The sequence below is a fragment of the Homo sapiens genome, chromosome 1, assembly GCF_000001405.40.
Source record: "Homo sapiens chromosome 1, GRCh38.p14 Primary Assembly".
NCBI classification, from domain to species: domain Eukaryota; kingdom Metazoa; phylum Chordata; class Mammalia; order Primates; family Hominidae; genus Homo; species Homo sapiens.
The window spans coordinates 86,677,374-86,695,965 of record NC_000001.11 but is presented as its reverse complement, the minus strand read 5'-3'; the positions used below and the strand labels follow the sequence as shown (position 1 = coordinate 86,695,965).

Sequence of the window (18,592 nt, the reverse complement as noted above, 5' to 3'; positions counted from 1 at the left end):
ATGCCTTGCCATAGATGTTAGCCAACAAACCAAAACTTCTCCTCACCTCAAAATGACATAATTTCTTTCCTATTACACTTAAGATCCTGGAATCATGTAGTTCACTGCATTCTTCAATCTTGAATAAAAGTGCTAGACTACTGGCAATGCTATTCTCTTTCAAAGAGCTTCTTTCCCATTATGCCCATGTTTTTACTTTGAGGACTGAATGCTCATTCCACTTTAAAATAAAGCTTAACTATAATTTTATTTTATACTTTAGTTACTGATATTACCTTGTGACTTGAGATGAAGACTAAAAGGAAAAGTAAAATAACAGTTTGGCTCACATTGTTGGAATTTAAGTTAATATGACTCATACTAGCAATTAGCTTCTTGTCCTGAAAGGTAAATATCAGTGTATTTACTGACGCTTTGAGGTATGGGAGTAAGGAGACAACGCCACCAAATTATGTGGTATAAGTTTAAGCTCTTAAGTTACCAAGGAAAAACTTAAAAGGATCCACTTGCCAGTTACTTACCAATATGATCATCTAACAAACACCTATTATGAGCAACCCCTATGCTAAGTTCCATGAAGGACAGCAATATAAGATATAATCTTTTTTTTGTTAAACGATGTGCATACGTGAGATAATATGGAAAGTTGAATCTAAGAAAGCCTGGCTTGGGAGGTATTCAAGTGGTCGTGGTAGAGTTAAAGATACCCAGAAGTCTTCTAAGAAGCACAAAACATGATTCCTGTACTCAGAGACATGCAGTCCTATTCACATGCAAAGAGGACCTACACTGGCTATTGCCAAGTATCAAGCGAGGTGAGTGCTATCATAAGTCACAGAATGGATACATTATTTGAGTAGTCAGATAAATCTCACAGCATGAGGCATAAGATGTCTAATAATGTCTAGAAAGCAATTGGAAATATGTGATTAAAGCTTGGGAATGAACACTGGGTTAAAGATAGACACTTTGGAGTCATTTGCATGGCTGTGATAAATAAGATTTGAAATAGAAGATAAACAGAATGAAAAGTAAAGGAAGATTAAAATCTGAAGAAAACAGCAAGACACTGTAAAAATAAAGACAGTTATAGAACTGACATGTTCACAAATATTAAGCAAAACAAGAGTTAACTAAGTGGACTGCATTCAAAAAGTTTAAGTAATCTTTTTAACTTTTGCTTGGAATATTGCTGATCCTTGTTTTGTTTTTCAGAGTCAAGGAAACTTATTTTAAACTATTAATGGCCATTAATAATTGAGTAAGGTATACTACTGTAAACAAAATTTGGAGCATGTTCATTTATCTCCACCTGGTTCCTCTAAAATTTGGAGACTACCTGTAAGTACTCTTAACTTATGGCAGTATAGTTGTTTGCATCAGTGCAATAAGAATGCATTTTTCTTTGTCAACAGGACACAATTGGATAAACTGGTTATTTTACCAAGGCTTTGGCTGAAATGGTGTGTTTCCCTTTAAGGAATCAAGCTTGACATGCAGAGCCAATAAAAGCCCCTTGGAGAACTGGCCTCATACCTTGTCTATACAGTCCCCGCACAGGGTTCCTAACCTGTAGTCAATAAAGAATGTCACTTTCTAACAGGTCTGGAAGCTCGGAGTTTCTCTTGGGACCTCAAGAAGTGAGGATCACCCAACTCACAGGTATTTGAGGATACAGACCCATTGCTGGGCTCGGCTTTAAAGGTCTTATCTAAGATTCCTTGTGGAACAGAGTTTCATCAAAGCCAATCCAAGAGACCTATGTAGAAATAACTATTCTTACTGCACTTCATGCAAATAATCAAGCCAAGTATAAGACTAAAGTTCATTCATGATTAGTTTTGACCAAAAATGAGAACTGGAGAGAAAAATTTTGCTCCAAAGCTTATCATACATTTGTCATTAAATCCTCATCTCAATTGTTTTTAAGATTTTTGCTTACATTTTAAACTAATCCTTCTTATTCCTGTGAATAAAATGGTAATCTTCTGCAGCTTGGAAGAAATAAAAAGGGATGGGTAACGTAAAAATCTGAATCAATACACTAGCTCTGGGCAATTATACTGCAAATTCTGCCAGGTAATGAAAGTAAGTAGGGTATCCATAACCTGGAGTTTTCTTTGTTTGGGAAAATAAAAGCAAAGCTTCACAGACCGCCAAAGGGAAATTCTATATCTTGGCAAGTAAAATTTTATATGGAAATTATCTACTACACCACACTTGTGGGAACTGCTATACTCACTCTACTATTTGCAATAGGGTTATACATGGTAGCACCTTCTAATTGAAATATTGAACAGAGTTTCCATTGCTGTTGTATTTTGCTTAATTATTATCCTTATAGTAGGAATAATAGTTACTGACAAAAAGGAAGCATAAAAGTTTTACTATCACTGAGTCTGCTAGGACTTTTTATTGGGTTTAGTGATGATTAACACCTAGTAAAGTAGAGAAAAATCTACAGGTACTTAAAGATCAAATCAAAATTATTGACAGGCTCAGGGAAAATGCCAGCTTCAGCCCCAGATGGCTACAATCCCTCTTTAATAAATTCCAGCCTTCTTTATGGAATTGGTTAACCCCTTTATTAAGCCCTCTCTTGCTTATATGTCTTGTATTGATATTTGGACCCTGTATACTCAATACTATAACTCGAATTGTTTCTTCTCACCTAGAAGCAATCAAACTCCAAATGGTGCTGCAAACTGAACCCCACATGGACACGCCATTCTTCTGAGGACCCTTAGATCCACCCCAGGAGGAGCCCTAGCTGCTGTTCCCCATTCGATGCCCCTTTTCAGCCGTAAGTAGCCAGAAGAAGTCATCGCTCCAAACCCTCTAACAGCAGTTAGTGTGGCCTCTCCCCGGTGGGGGGGAATGTTGTAGGAGTTATTAAGAAATTATTTTAGGCAGATAGAGAGGAAAAGGGGTCCTTGGGAAGTTTTCATTTTTAAAAGCATCTCTGGAAATATTTCTTGTAAAGCCCCCGCTCTTAGAGCCAGGCCGGCAACCTTTGATATGCAAATACAGGCTATTAGAAACTGCGTCCACCCAAACATGGTAATTCCTGCAGCCTTCTTGCCCTTGCCCCACATGTTCCTGGCAACATGCCTACCCCCACATATCCCCACGTGTGTAGAACATCATGATGCCTTACATTTGCATATTAAAAGGCTAGGATGGGAGCGCCAGCTTTTTCATGGGCTATGTGAATGACATGCCTAGTCAAATCAATCTCCTGAGCCCTGTGCAAATCGGACACCAGCTCCTCCAGCCTCTGCATATATACCTGGCTGGTGTCTATTGCATTTGGGGTTTCCTCTCTTGGCTTTGGAGCCCCCCCACCCTCTGTCTCTGTACAGGGGAGCTTCTTCCTTCTGCCTTCTTCCTTCTTCCTGGCCTATTAAACTCTCCACTCATTCAAACAAACAAAAAAAGTTCAATTTAAAGAAAAAATTGAACATCTATACATTTAAAATAAAGTCATTAAACTGAAAACTTAATGGACTAACTAACGGCATATTAGATACCAATGAAGGGAGATTAGTAAATGCAAGATAGTTCTGAGGAAATTATACAGAAAACAGTATGGAGAAATAGGGAATGAAAAATATAGATTAAGAAAAATGAGGATAGAATGAGAAACTTCAGTACACTAACTAACAAGATTTTCAGAAAGTAAGATAAGAAAGAAGAAAGAGAGAGAGAGACAAGTTTGATGTGACAATGACTGATAATTTCCCCAAACTGATGAAAGACTATCTCAAGTCAAAGAATCTTAAGCAGAATAAATAAAAAGAAGTACATCCTAGGCACATTGAAATTGTGAAAGCAGTGAATTGTAGTGCTGCAATGACAAAGATAAAATCTAGAAAGAAATCAGATATCAAAGATAGATTACCTACAAAGAAATAATTAGGTCAGCAATAGAGCAATAATAGATTTCTCAAGAATAATACTAAGAGCCAGAAGTTAAGGAAATAGTATCCTCATAGAGCTAAGGAAAAACAAATACACTTATAAATCTACAATTTGATGCCCACTAAACTATCAATTAAGAGTACCAAATTATGGCACTTTTCAGACTGAAAAAATTTACCTCTTACAGACTAACTGGCACTGAAAACTGAAATAGTTCAGCCAATATTCTACATCGCTTAAAGATATATATATATTTATTATATCTATATTCATGTATATTATATACTATTGATACATATATGATACATGTAATTAATACAAGTATAAAAACAAGCATGGGAATTATAAACATCTAATTCAAAATAATGATTATTTATGAGAGAAAAAGAAAGGAATTGACGCTTCCTTTGTATCTTTTAAGCTAGTATACATGGGCATTTATTATATTATTTTTAGACTGTTTTGTCTCCTTGAAATATATTTTAAAAAGGAGAGAGTTTTTAAAAAGTAATGATCTATAATATAAAATATTGCACAAGACAATAAGAACAGGAAATTCCACAGATTTGGACACTAAAAGGGCACTCCAGAGAACTATCTTCCCAGGTAAGGGAGAATGAAAACAGAACCTTTTCAACCTTCGTACATTTGCTCATATCATTTCTCCTTCTCTCCTGTTACAATAAAAGAGATGTTTTTCTGTCCATCAAAGAACAGTCCTTTCCCTGTATGTTCTGGATCCTATGTCTCCCACCTTCTTAAAACACATATGTTTATCCCTTTTCCCTTTTATATTTTCATGTTTTCCCTTTCTACAGAATTTTTACTGGCATTTCAGTCTCTCCTATTTTTTTTTTTTCTTTTTGAGACTGAGTCTCGCTCTGTCACCCAGGCTGGAGTGCAGTGGCGCGATCTTGGCTTACTGCAAGCTCTGCCTCCTGGATTCACGCTATTCTCCTGCCTCAGCCTCCTGAGTAGCTGGGACTACAGGTGCCCACCACCATGCCCAGCTAATTTTTTTGTATTTTTAGTAGAGACGGGGTTTCACCGTGTTAGCCAGGATGGTCTCGATCTCCTGACCTTGTGATCCTCCTGCCTCAGCCTCCCAAAGTGCTGGGATTACAAGGGTGAGCCACCGCGCCCAGCCAGTCTCTCTTATTTTTAAACTTCTCCTCCCCCAAATTGTCACAAACGCAAATATTGCTTCTACTTACTATCACAACCCTATTTCAGCCACTTTCTTGTTTATCTCCTTCCCGTACCAGTGAAACATCTTGAAAAAATTATCTCCAATTATTGTCTCAATATCTGGACCTCCCAATTACCCTTGAAACACTCCAATGTAGTTTCTGCTCCTATCCTACCACTCCATAGAAATTACTCTCTTTAAGATTACTGGTGATTACTATCTTGACCTCTTACCATCACTTGATATTCTGTACCACTTGTTTCTCAATCATCTTCATAATAAGCGCAATATTTGTTGAATGTTTGCCATATTCCAGGTGCTGTGTTAATGCGTTAAATTTGTATGCATTATTTCCTTCTTGAAACCTCTCTTTCTTTGGTTTCCATGACAACACTTCTCTGATTTTCCTCCTACCTCTCAATAGATAGTCTGGTTTCTTTGCTCATCCCCATCTTTCTGGCCTTTAATTGACAAAGTTCCTCAAGATACATTTCATAACTCTTCTCACTCTAAAACAGAAAATTTCTCCATTTATATGTATCTATTTATACGCAGATGACTTCCAATTTTCTTTTCATTTCATCTATTAACATTTCTCCGTGTAAATCTTTAAAAGATAAGAACTCTTTTGTTTGGTTAAACATAACCACAAAATCATTATCACACATAAAATTAACAACAGTTCCTTAATGTTAGAAAATATCCAGAGAGCACTTTTCCAATTGTCTAATAACTATCATAAAATTTTTTAGAAAATTTAAAATAAAGGTTCTCATCAAATTACTCTATTGATTTCAATCCTTTAGTGATGTCTCATTAGTCTTAGGATAAAGAACAAAATCTGTATCCTGGCCTGTAGGCCCTGTATGGTTTGTCCTGGCTTCTCTAGTCACCTAGATCAATGAATGGAATCTAAAGATTTCACATTGATTATTTTAAGTTGATATCAGGTGGATAATATTAAGTCAAAAGGTACTGAACCTTTGATTGTAAAATTTGCATCTTTTGGAGTTTGTTTTGACCAAAAGGAGGGAGTTGAGAAATACTGATGAGTTAAATGATGCAGGCCTGGCTCAACAAAGCTGGAGAATGGAAGGGTCTTGATAGACATAATCCTAAGACAGTCGATTCCAGTATGCTCCTCAGTAAACTTGCAGGTTTTGGGAATAATCAAATACAATTGAAATTGTCTTCTTTGTTACGCTTGGACAAACTTCACAAGGACAGACTGCCTAGGCTGACCTCTTTGCTGCCATCTAATCAGTTTACCAAGAAAAATGTGCAAACAAGACTCAGTCTTTCCAGACTGTAGTTTTTTTTCTCTCAGAAGTGAAGCATTTGCCCTTGTTGCTTGACAACAGTATAATGAGTGTTTCCCTATATGTGAAAAAAATTTTCATATAAATAACCAAATATCTCAGTTATTCTTTGATAATAAAAGCTTGGGCCAGGCATGGTGGCTCATGCCAGTACTTTGGGAGGCTGAGGCAGGTGGAGGCTGCTTGAATGCAAGAGTTTGAGACCAGCCTGGGCAACATGATGAAACCCCATATGTACAAGAAATACAAACTTAGCCGGGCCCAGGAGGTGGAGGTTGCAGTGAGCTGAGATTGCTCCACTGCACTGCAGCCTGGGTAACAGAGCAAGATGCTGTCTTGAAAAAAAAAAAAAAAGCTTAATCTTATCCTCAAAGATAATATTTCCCACTCTTACTCATCTTAATACTTCGATTGACTCAGTTGTTCAAGATAAAAATCTGGGACTATTTTCAATGCTCTCTGGTTCCTCATCCTTACCTCCCTCCCAGTATTCAATTCAATTCAATTCCCTCCCAATATTCAATATTCAGCAGATCTGAATCTACTGATAGCAACCATGATAGTCTGAGCCAAAACCATCTGTTGTTGGGACTATTGAAATACTCTCCTAAATGGTCCTAATTTTTCCCCCTACATTCATGTTCATCCTCTTCCATTTCGTTTCTGCATAGGAGCCAGGGTGTTTTAAAAAACCGTGTATCTCATTATCTCTCCTTGTTTAACTACAATTGGTCCTTCATATCCATGGGCTCTGAAAGCACAGATTCAACCAACCAGGGATAGAAAATATGTGGAAAAAAAGAATAATTAAAGACAAAAACATGACAGTAAAAACAATACAAATAAAAACCAACACAGTATAATAACTATATAGCACTTACATTGTATTAGGTATTATAAGTAATCTAGATATGATTTAAAGTATCATCTCTTTAAAGGAGGATATGCATAGGTATGGCGTATATAAATACTATGCCATTTTATATAAGGGGTTTGAGCATTCAAGGGGGAAGAGTGGCATCCTAGAACCAGTCCCCTGTGGATACTAAGGGATGACTGTACTTCAAATGATTTCTATTATACCTATCATAAAGTGATAAAATCATGAATCCCCAATATGGCCAACCCTTTCACCAGGCCCTGTTTAGCCTGCCACCTACCTTCCTCGACTCATCTGGTATAGCTGTCTCCCTTACTCACAACTGTAACCACACTGCCCTTATTTAAATTCCTTTAGATAACAAAACTTTTCCCACCTCAGCACCTTCACTCATGCTTTTCCTGCTGCCTTAAATCTCTCTTGCTGCTCATTATTTAGGAGTTGGCTCATCACTTTCTCAGAGAAGCCCTTCCTAAACTCCGTACTAAATTAGGGATTCCCTTGTAAGTCCTTCATGTCTCTAAACACAATTTATATTCATTTATATAATAATTTGTGTAATTTAATCCCTACTAATCTATAAGCTCAAAAAGGTCAGAAATCATATCTGCTTTTAAAAATGTTTTATATAATACAAGCCTAGCACATAGCAGGCACTAAATACTCTGAACAAATGAGTGAGATAAGGTATGTGGAAGCTTTTCGCACAGTACCTGACACATAGGCACTACTCAAATTTATTTTCCTTTTTTATTTTAAAGATTACATTAGATATTGGTCTTTTACTTAATAGAATGTTGTTAGTCTTTTTTTAAAGTATGTATTTTAAATCTTTTGAATGACTATGATAATTCCACTAGATGTCAGACTAACCTAAAAATTTGTTATAAAATTAAAGTACTGTGTATGATTCCAGTGTTCAGTTGACTGGTTAGATGATTCTCATGTTGTTAATTTGATGAAGAGAGGTAATGTTTTTGTAGATACCTTTGAAATTAAGATTATGGATGCTCCATGATTGTATATTGAGTACCCAGGATATAATCCTCTTGTGCTGTGGAAGGTTATAGATATTTTGGGTTTCTTACCAAAGACTTGCACTGTCCCAATAATAAAATACTTATAAAATATAATAAAAAATAATAACTGCTAATATTTATTGAACACCAACTATATATCAGACACTTTGATAAACACTTTATATGTTTTATCTCATTTAATCTCCATTAGTAAGTTATGATAGTAATTAAAAGTGTCTTCATTAATAAAAGTTTTGTGAGATAAATAGTATTATTAACCTCCTTTTGAAAACTAGGGTTTAAAAAAGTTAAATAGCTGTTCCTAAAGGCTCTAAAAGAGGTAGTATAACCTATCAAAATTATTTATAAAAACATTTTAAATAAAAGTAACTCCCTATTTTGAAAACATAAAGATTTTTTATTTTTTATTTTTTATTTATTTGTTTTTTAATTATACTTTAAGTTTTAGGGTACAAGTGCACAGTGTGCAGGTTTGTTACATATGTATATATGTGCCATGTTGGTGTGCTGCACCCATTAACTCATCATTTACATTAGGTATATCTCCTAATGCTATCCCTCCCCCCTCCTCCCACCCCACAACAGGCCCCAGTGTGTGATGTTCCCCTTCCTGTGTATTAAAACATAAAGATGTTTTAATAACAATAGTCTTGTCAACATTCACGGCACGTGGAACTTGGGATTTCATTTATGAGATAAATAAATGATGTTGGTTAGCGGAAGAGATTAGGATGGTAGTGGAAAGAGCATACAATTTGGAATTAGATCTTGGTTTGTATCTCAGCATCACCATTTACTAGCTTCAGTCTGAACTTGGGCAAGGTATTTCACATCTCTGAGGCTCAGGTCCCAGTTAATTGGGGTTATAATACAATGTCTACCTTGCTATGCTGAAGTAAAGATTAAATAGAAAAATATACAGAAAATGCTACTACAGTGATTGGCATGTGATAAGTTATAGTTCAATATATCTTGTTTTAAAAATTTTTGTTATAAATGTCTAAATCTAAGAGCAGAAGATATTAATTTTGTAAATACTATGGGTTACAAACCTCTCATATTTTGGTCATGGTAGATGAATATACAAAATAGCAATGTCAAATTCATACTTGAATGGCTTAAAATTTATCTATGGACAGTTTACAAAGACTAATTGTTTAATTCTCAAAATTAATGAGAACATTTCCATGGAAGAGTTAAGAATTAAGATAATATATCTTGCACTTAATCAACATTTTTAAAGTAGCATTGGTGCTTTGATATGATAGTAAAGGAGGTTGAGAGAGAAAACAGATTCATTCTTTTCCTTCCATGTTTATTACTTGTTATCATTTATTAATGCTAACATATTACTTCTGGCCTAGACTCCTTTAATAGCCTCCAAAATTATCTCTCCATTTCACTTTCCTTTACACAAGTTTTCAAGATGAATACTTCTAAAAATATAGCTCAAATCATATTACAATTTGCTCAAGCATCTGCCTACTAAGGAAAGTATATATACTACTCTTGTTAGAGCCATGTCATAGGCTAATTTCCTCATTTTTACTATACAGTATGCACCTGTAAGTATTCAGAACTGCATCGAGATATGTGGGCACAATAGCTAATGTCCCTGATTCAATTTATATTTTGAAAATATTTGTAAATTTATTTAATGGGGCTGGAGTGAAATATATTTTTCTTTTACATTTAAGACATTTAAAAAACCCAGAAAAATATAGATAATAGTGTAACAAAAACTTTCATTCTTCTCATATAGGAATAACAATTTTTAAAATCATAACTTAGTTTTTTTAAGGGCTAAAACATTATTGTTTAAGCTTAAGATCTAGGTAACTAAATCAACACTCTCAGTCTCATTCACCTTTCTGCCCTTCACTCAAAACCTCCCCTAGGAAGAGTTTAATGTATTTCCTGCCCAGTTTTAAAAATACTTTTACTTATTTATATTTACAGACAAATATAGTATATCTTATGCTGTAATTTATGTACATGATAGCATATTGTACCTATCATTTTGTAATTTTTTTACACAGTATTATATATTTCAAATCTGTTTAATATAGATTAGATGAAATTCCTTTTTTTTTTTTTTTTTTTTTTGAGACAGAGTTTTGCTCTTGTTGCCCAGGCTGGAGTGCAATGGCGCAATCTCGGCTCACCGCAACCTCCGCCTCCCGGGTTCAAGCGATTCTCTTGCCTCAGCCTCCAGAGTAGCTGGGATTACAGGCACGTGCCACCATGCCTGGCTAATTTTGTACTTTTAATAGAGACAGGGTTTCTCCATGTTGGTCAGGCTGGTCTCGAACTCCCGACCTCAGGTGATCCTCCCAAAAGTGCTAGGATTACAGGTGTGAGTCACTGCGCCCGGCCAGAATTCATTTCTTTTAGCTGTTTTATAGAAGTCCATCACATGAATATACCACATTTTATTTGTCAATTTCCTTATTGCTGGATGCTTAGATTGTTCCAGTCTTCACTCTTAAAAATATGCTATAGTGAGGGGAGGAGCCAAGATGGCCGAATAGGAACAGCTCCGGTCTACAGCTCCCAGCGTGAGCGACGCAGAAGACGGGTGATTTCTGCATTTCCATCTGAGGTACCGGGTTCATCTCACTAGGGAGTGCCAGACAGTGGGCGCAGGCCAGTGGGTGTGCGCACCGTGCGCGAGCCGAAGCAGGGCGAGGCATTGCCTCACCTGGGAAGCGCAAGGGGTCAGGGAGTTCCCTTTCCGAGTCAAAGAAAGGGGTGATGGACGCACCTGGAAAATCGGGTCACTCCCACCCGAATATTGCGCTTTTCAGACCGGTTTAAGAAACGGCGCACCATGAGACTATATCCCACACCTGGCTCAGAGGGTCCTACGCCCACGGAATCTCGCTGATTGCTAGCACAGCAGTCTGAGATCAAACTGCAAGGCGGCAACGAGGCTGGGGGAGGGGCGCCCGCCATTGCCCAGGCTTGCTTAGGTAAACAAAGCAGCCGGGAAGCTCGAACTGGGTGGAGCCCACCACAGCTCAAGGAGGCCTGCCTGCCTCTGTAGGCTCCACCTCTGGGGGCAGGGCACAGACAAACAAAAAGGCAGCAGTAACCTCTGCAGACTTAAGTGTCCCTGTCTGACAGCTTTGAAGAGAGCAGTGGTTCTCCCAGCACGCAGCTGGAGATCTGAGAACGGGCAGACTGCCTCCTCAAGTGGGTCCCTGACCCCTGACCCCCGAGCAGCCTAACTGGGAGGCACCCCCCAGCAGGGGCACACTGACACCTCACACAGCAGGGTATTCCAACAGACCTGCAGCTGAGGGTCCTGTCTGTTAGAAGGAAAACTAACAACCAGAAAGGACATCTACACCGAAAACCCATCTGTACATCACCATCATCAAAGACCAAAAGTAGATAAAACCACAAAGATGGGGAAAAAACAGAACAGAAAAACTGGAAACTCTAAAACGCAGAGCGCCTCTCCTCCTCCAAAGGAACGCAGTTCCTCACCAGCAACAGAACAAAGCTGGATGGAGAATGATTTTGACGAGCTGAGAGAAGAAGGCTTCAGACGATCAAATTACTCTGAGCTACGGGAGGACATTCAAACCAAAGGCAAAGAAGTTGAAAACTTTGAAAAAAATTTAGAAGAATGTATAACTAGAATAACCAATACAGAGAAGTGCTTAAAGGAGCTGATGGAGCTGAAAACCAAGGCTCGAGAACTACGTGAAGAATGCAGAAGCCTCAGGAGCCGATGCGATCAACTGGAAGAAAGGGTATCAGCAATGGAAGATGAAATGAATGAAATGAAGCGAGAAGGGAAGTTTAGAGAAAAAAGAATAAAAAGAAATGAGCAAAGCCTCCAAGAAATATGGGACTATGTGAAAAGACCAAATCTACGTCTGATTGGTGTACCTGAAAGTGATGTGGAGAATGGAACCAAGTTGGAAAACACTCTGCAGGATATTATCCAGGAGAACTTCCCCAATCTAGCAAGGCAGGCCAACGTTCAGATTCAGGAAATACAGAGAACGCCACAAAGATACTCCTCGAGAAGAGCAACTCCAAGACACATAATTGTCAGATTCACCAAAGTTGAAATGAAGGAAAAAATGTTAAGGGCAGCCAGAGAGAAAGGTCGGGTTACCCTCAAAGGGAAGCCTATCAGACTAACAGCAGATCTCTCGGCAGAAACCCTACAAGCCAGAAGAGAGTGGGGGCCAATATTCAACATTCTTAAAGAAAAGAATTTTCAACCCAGAATTTCATTTCCAGCCAAACTAAGCTTCATAAGTGAAGGAGAAAGAAAATACTTTACAGACAAGCAAATGCTGAGAGATTTTGTCACCACCAGGCCTACCCTAAAAGAGCTCCTGAAGGAAGCACTAAACATGGAAAGGAACAACCGGTACCAGCCGCTGCAAAATCATGCCAAAATGTAAAGACCATCGAGACTAGGAAGAAACTGCATCAACTAATGAGCAAAATCACCAGCTAACATCATAATGACAGGATCAAATTCACACATAACAATATTAACTTTAAATATAAATGGACTAAATTCTGCAATTAAAAGACACAGACTGGCAAGTTGGATAAAGAGTCAAGACCCATCAGTGTGCTGTATTCAGGAAACCCATCTCACGTGCAGAGACACACATAGGCTCAAAATAAAAGGATGGAGGAAGATCTACCAAGCAAATGGAAAACAAAAAAAGGCAGGGGTTGCAATCCTAGTCTCTGATAAAACAGACTTTAAACCAACAAAGATCAAAAGAGACAAAGAAGGCCATTACATAATGGTAAAGGGATCAATTCAACAAGAGGAGCTAACTATCCTAAATATTTATGCACCCAATACAGGAGCACCCAGATTCATAAAGCAAGTCCTGAGTGACCTACAAAGAGACTTAGACTCCCACACATTAATAATGGGAGACTTTAACACCCCACTGTCAATATTAGACAGATCAACGAGACAGAAAGTCAACAAGGATACCCAGGAATTGAACTCAGCTCTGCACCAAGCAGACCTAATAGACATCTACAGAACTCTCCACCCCAAATCAACAGAATATACATTTTTTTCAGCACCACACCACACCTATTCCAAAATTGACCACATAGTTGGAAGTAAAGCTCTCCTCAGCAAATGTAAAAGAACAGAAATTATAACAAACTATCTCTCAGACCACAGTGCAATCAAACTAGAACTCAGGATTAAGAATCTCACTCAAAGCCGCTCAACTACATGGAAACTGAACAACCTGCTCCTGAATGACTACTGGGTACATAACGAAATGAAGGCAGAAATAAAGATGTTCTTTGAAACCAACGAGAACAAAGACACCACATACCAGAATCTCTGGGACGCATTCAAAGCAGTGTGTAGAGGGAAATTTATAGCACTAAATGCCTACAAGAGAAAGCAGGAAAGATCCAAAATTGACACCCTAACATCACAATTAAAAGAACTAGAAAAGCAAGAGCAAACACATTCAAAAGCTAGCAGAAGGCAAGAAATAACTAAAATCAGAGCAGAACTGAAGGAAATAGAGACACAAAAAACCCTTCAAAAAATCAATGAATCCAGGAGCTGGTTTTTTGAAAGGATCAACAAAATTGATAGACCGCTAGCAAGACTAATAAAGAAGAAAAGAGAGAAGAATCAAATAGATGCAATAAAAAATGATAAAGGGGATATCACCACCGATCCCACAGAAATACAAACTACCATCAGAGAATACTACAAACACCTCTACGCAAATAAACTAGAAAATCTAGAAGAAATGGATACATTCCTCGACACATACACTCTCCCAAGACTAAACCAGGAAGAAGTTGAATCTCTGAATAGACCAATAACAGGCTCTGAAATTGTGGCAATAATCAATAGTTTACCAACCAAAAAGAGTCCAGGACCAGATGGATTCACAGCCGAATTCTACCAGAGGTACAAGGAGGAACTGGTACCATTCCTTCTGAAACTATTCCAATCAATAGAAAAAGAGGGAATCCTCCCTAACTCATTTTATGAGGCCAGCATCATTCTGATACCAAAGCTGGGCAGAGACACAACCAAAAAAGAGAATTTTAGACCAATATCCTTGATGAACATTGATGCAAAAATCCTCAATAAAATACTGGCAAACCGAATCCAGCAGCACATCAAAAAGCTTATCCACCATGAACAAGTGGGCTTCATCCCTGGGATGCAAGGCTGGTTCAATATACGCAAATCAATAAATGTAATCCAGCATATAAACAGAGCCAAAGACAAAAACCACATGATTATCTCAATAGATGCAGAAAAAGCCTTTGACAAAATTCAACAACCCTTCATGCTAAAAACTCTCAATAAATTAGGTATTGATGGGACGTATTTCAAAATAATAAGAGCTATCTATGACAAACCCACAGCCAATATCATACTGAATGGGCAAAAACTGGAAGCATTCCCTTTGAAAACTGGCACAAGACAGGGATGCCCTCTCTCACCGCTCCTATTCAACATAGTGTTGGAAGTTCTGGCCAGGGCAATCAGGCAGGAGAAGGAAATAAAGGGTATTCAATTAGGAAAAGAGGAAGTCAAATTGTCCCTGTTTGCAGACGACATGATTGTTTATCTAGAAAACCCCATCATCTCAGCCCAAAATCTCCTTAAGCTGATAAGCAACTTCAGCAAAGTCTCAGGATACAAAATCAATGTACAAAAATCACAAGCATTCTTATACACCAACAACAGACAAACAGAGAGCCAAATCATGGGTGAACTCCCATTCACAATTGCTTCAAAGAGAATAAAATACCTAGGAATCCAACTTACAAGGGATGTGAAGGACCTCTTCAAGGAGAACTACAAACCACTGCTCAAGGAAATAAAAGAGGACACAAACAAATGGAAGAACATTCCATGCTCATGGGTAGGAAGAATCAATATCGTGAAAATGGCCATACTGCCCAAGGTAATTTACAGATTCAATGCCATCCCCATCAAGCTACCAATGACTTTCTTCACAGAATTGGAAAAAACTACTTTAAAGTTCATATGGAACCAAAAAAGAGCCCGCATTGCCAAGTCAATCCTAAGCCAAAAGAACAAAGCTGGAGGCATCACACTACCTGACTTCAAACTATACTACAAGGCTACAGTAACCAAAACAGCATGGTACTGGTACCAAAACAGAGATATAGATCAATGGAACAGAACAGAGCCCTCAGAAATAATGCCACATATCTACAACTATCTGATCTTTGACAAACCTGAGAAAAACAAGCAATGGGGAAAGGATTCCCTATTTAATAAATGGTGCTGGGAAAACTGGCTAGCCATATGTAGAAAGCTGAAACTGGATCTCTTCCTTACACCTTATACAAAAATCAATTCAAGATGGATTAAAGATTTAAACGTTAAACCTAAAACCATAAAAACCCTAGAAGAAAACCTAGGCATTACCATTCAGGACATAGGCGTGGGCAAGGACTTCATGTCCAAAACACCAAAAGCAATGGCAACAAAAGCCAAAATTGACAAATGGGATCTAATTAAACTAAAGAGCTTCTGCACAGCAAAAGAAACTACCATCAGAGTGAACAGGCAACCTACAAAATGGGAGAAAATTTTCGCAACCTACTCATCTGACAAAGGGCTAATATCCAGAATCTACAATGAACTCAAACAAATTTACAAGAAAAAAACAAACAACCCCATCAAAAAGTGGGCGAAGGACATGAACAGACACTTCTCAAAAGAAGACATTTATGCAGCCAAAAAACACATGAAGAAATGCTCATCATCACTGGCCATCAGAGAAATGCAAATCAAAACCACTATGAGATATCATCTCACACCAGTTAGAATGGCAATCATTAAAAAGTCAGGAAACAACAGGTGCTGGAGAGGATGTGGAGAAATAGGAACACTTTTACACTGTTGGTGGGACTGTAAACTAGTTCAACCATTGTGGAAGTCAGTGTGGCGATTCCTCAGGGATCTAGAACTAGAAATACCATTTGACCCAGCCATCCCATTACTGGGTATATACCCAAAGGACTATAAATCATGCTGCTATAAAGACACATGCACACGTATGTTTATTGCGGCACTATTCACAATAGCAAAGACTTGGAACCAACCCAAATGTCCAACAATGATAGACTGGATTAAGAAAATGTGGCACATATACACCATGGAATATTATGCAGCCATAAAAAATGATGAGTTCATATCCTTTGTAGGGACATGGATGAAATTGGAAACCATCATTCTCAGTAAACTATCGCAAGAACAAAAAACCAAACACCGCATGTTCTCACTCATAGGTGGGAATTGAACAATGAGATCACATGGACACAGGAAGGGAAATATCACACTCTGGGGACTGTGGTGGGGTCGGGGGAGGGGGGAGGGATAGCATTGGGAGATATACCTAATGCTAGATGACACATTAGTGGGTGCAGCGCACCAGCATGGCACATGTATACATATGTAACTAACCTGCACAATGTGCACATGTACCCTAAAACTTAGAGTATAATAATAAAAAAAAAATATGCTATAGTGAATGTCTTTCTTCACATATCCTGGAACACAAATAAATTGGGATATAGCTGTATGTGGTGCGCATATTTTTAATTTTACCAAATACAACAAAACTGTCTCCAAAAAAGTCCTCCCATTTTCACAAAAATTTGATTGATATTATAATTGAGTGGAAATAGTATCTACTTATAATTTTTAAAGAAAACCTACATTTCTAATTATCTTCAAGATTGAGACTCATTTCTTTAGGTAATTGGCCTTTTAATTTCCCGTCTTTCTGAAATTGACTGCCCATTTTTTTGTTGAGTTGTTAATATTTTTCTTTTACTTTTTTTGGTTCCATATGAATTTTAGAATAGTTTTTTTCACTTCTGTGAAAGATGATGTTGGTAATTTGATTAGAATAGCATTCAATCTGTAGGTTGCTTTGAGAAGTATGGCCATTTTAACAATATTGATTCTTCCAACCCATGAGCATGAAATTCTTTTCCATTTGTTTGTGTCATTTATGATTTCTTTCAGCAGTGTGCTGTAGTTGCATTTGTAGAGATCTTTCACTTTTACGCTTAGATGTATTCCTAGGTATTTTTTTTTTTTGTGGCTATTGTAAATGGGATTGCATTATTGACTTGGCTGTCAGCTTAAATGTTATTGGTGTATAGAAATGTTACTGATTTTTGTATGTTGATTTTGCATCCTGAGACCTTGCTGAAGTTGTTTATCAGGTCTAGGAGTCCTTTGGCGGAATCTCTAGCGTTTTCTAGGTATACAATTCTATTGTTAGTGAAGAGAGATAATTTAACTTCCTCTTTTCCTATTTGGATGCCTTTTATTTCTTTCTCTTGCCTGACTGCTCTAGCTAGGACTTTCAGCATTATGTTGAATAGGAGTGGTGAGAGTGGATAGAATGGATATCCTTGTCTTTTTCCAGTTCTTTTTTTTTTTTTTTTTTTTTTTTTTTTTGAGATGGAGTTTTGCTCTTTGTTGCCCAGGCTGGAGTGCAGTGGCGTAATCTCAGCTCACTGCAACCTGCACGATTGCAGCTCACTGCAACCTCTGCTTCCCAGGTTCAAGCGATTCTCCTGTCTCAGCCTTCTGAGTAGTTGGGATTACAGGCACCCACCACCACATCCAGCTAATTTTTGTATTTTTAGTAGAGACAGGGTTTCACCATGTTGGCCCGGCTGGTCTCGAACTCCTGACTCAAGTGATCCGTCCACCTTGGGCTCCCAAAGTGTTGGGATTACAGGCGTGAGCCACCGCACCAGGCCGTCTTTTTCCTTAAGGGGAAAGGCTTCCAACTTTTGCCCATTCAATATGTTTTTGGCTGTGGCTTTGTTGTAGACAGCTCTTATTATTGAGGGTTTTTATCATGAAGGGATGTTGGATTTTATTGAATACATTTTCTGCATCTATTAGGATGATCATATGGTTTTTGTTTTTTATTCTGTTTATGTGGTGAATCACATTTATTGATTTGCATAAATTATGCCATCCTTGCATTCCAGGAATAAAGCCCACTTGATTCCAGCGAATTAACTTTTTCATGTGCTGCTGTATTTGGTTTGCTAAAATTTTGTTGAGGATTTTTGCATGTATGCTAATCAGGGTTATGGACCTATAGTTTTATTTTTCTGTTGTGTCTGTGCCAGATTTTGGTATCAGTTTCATGGGATAAGTTAAGGAGGAATCTCTCCTCAATTTTTTTGAGTGGTT

General features: G+C 37.8%; 1 long non-coding RNA gene across 1 annotated transcript in view, besides 1 other annotated feature; it reads left to right on the top strand.

Annotated features, from left to right (window-relative positions):
- The window catches only part of CLCA4-AS1 (CLCA4 antisense RNA 1), a 133,313-nt gene that overhangs the window by 8,528 nt on the left and 106,193 nt on the right, over nt 1-18,592 (top strand). Inside the window, exon 4 of the long non-coding RNA NR_135837.1 lies at nt 2,676-2,803. This is a non-coding gene — a long non-coding RNA (CLCA4 antisense RNA 1). The remainder of the gene's footprint in view (nt 1-2,675; nt 2,804-18,592) is intronic.
- Nucleotides 11,093-11,740: an enhancer, noted in NCBI's record as "OCT4-NANOG-H3K27ac-H3K4me1 hESC enhancer chr1:87149909-87150556 (GRCh37/hg19 assembly coordinates)". NCBI's record gives its function as "activates a minimal SCP1, AML or CMV promoter by ChIP-STARR-seq in naive and primed H9 embryonic stem cells {active_cell/tissue: H9 hESC(naive and primed)}" and the evidence as "EXISTENCE:reporter gene assay evidence [ECO:0000049][PMID:30033119]".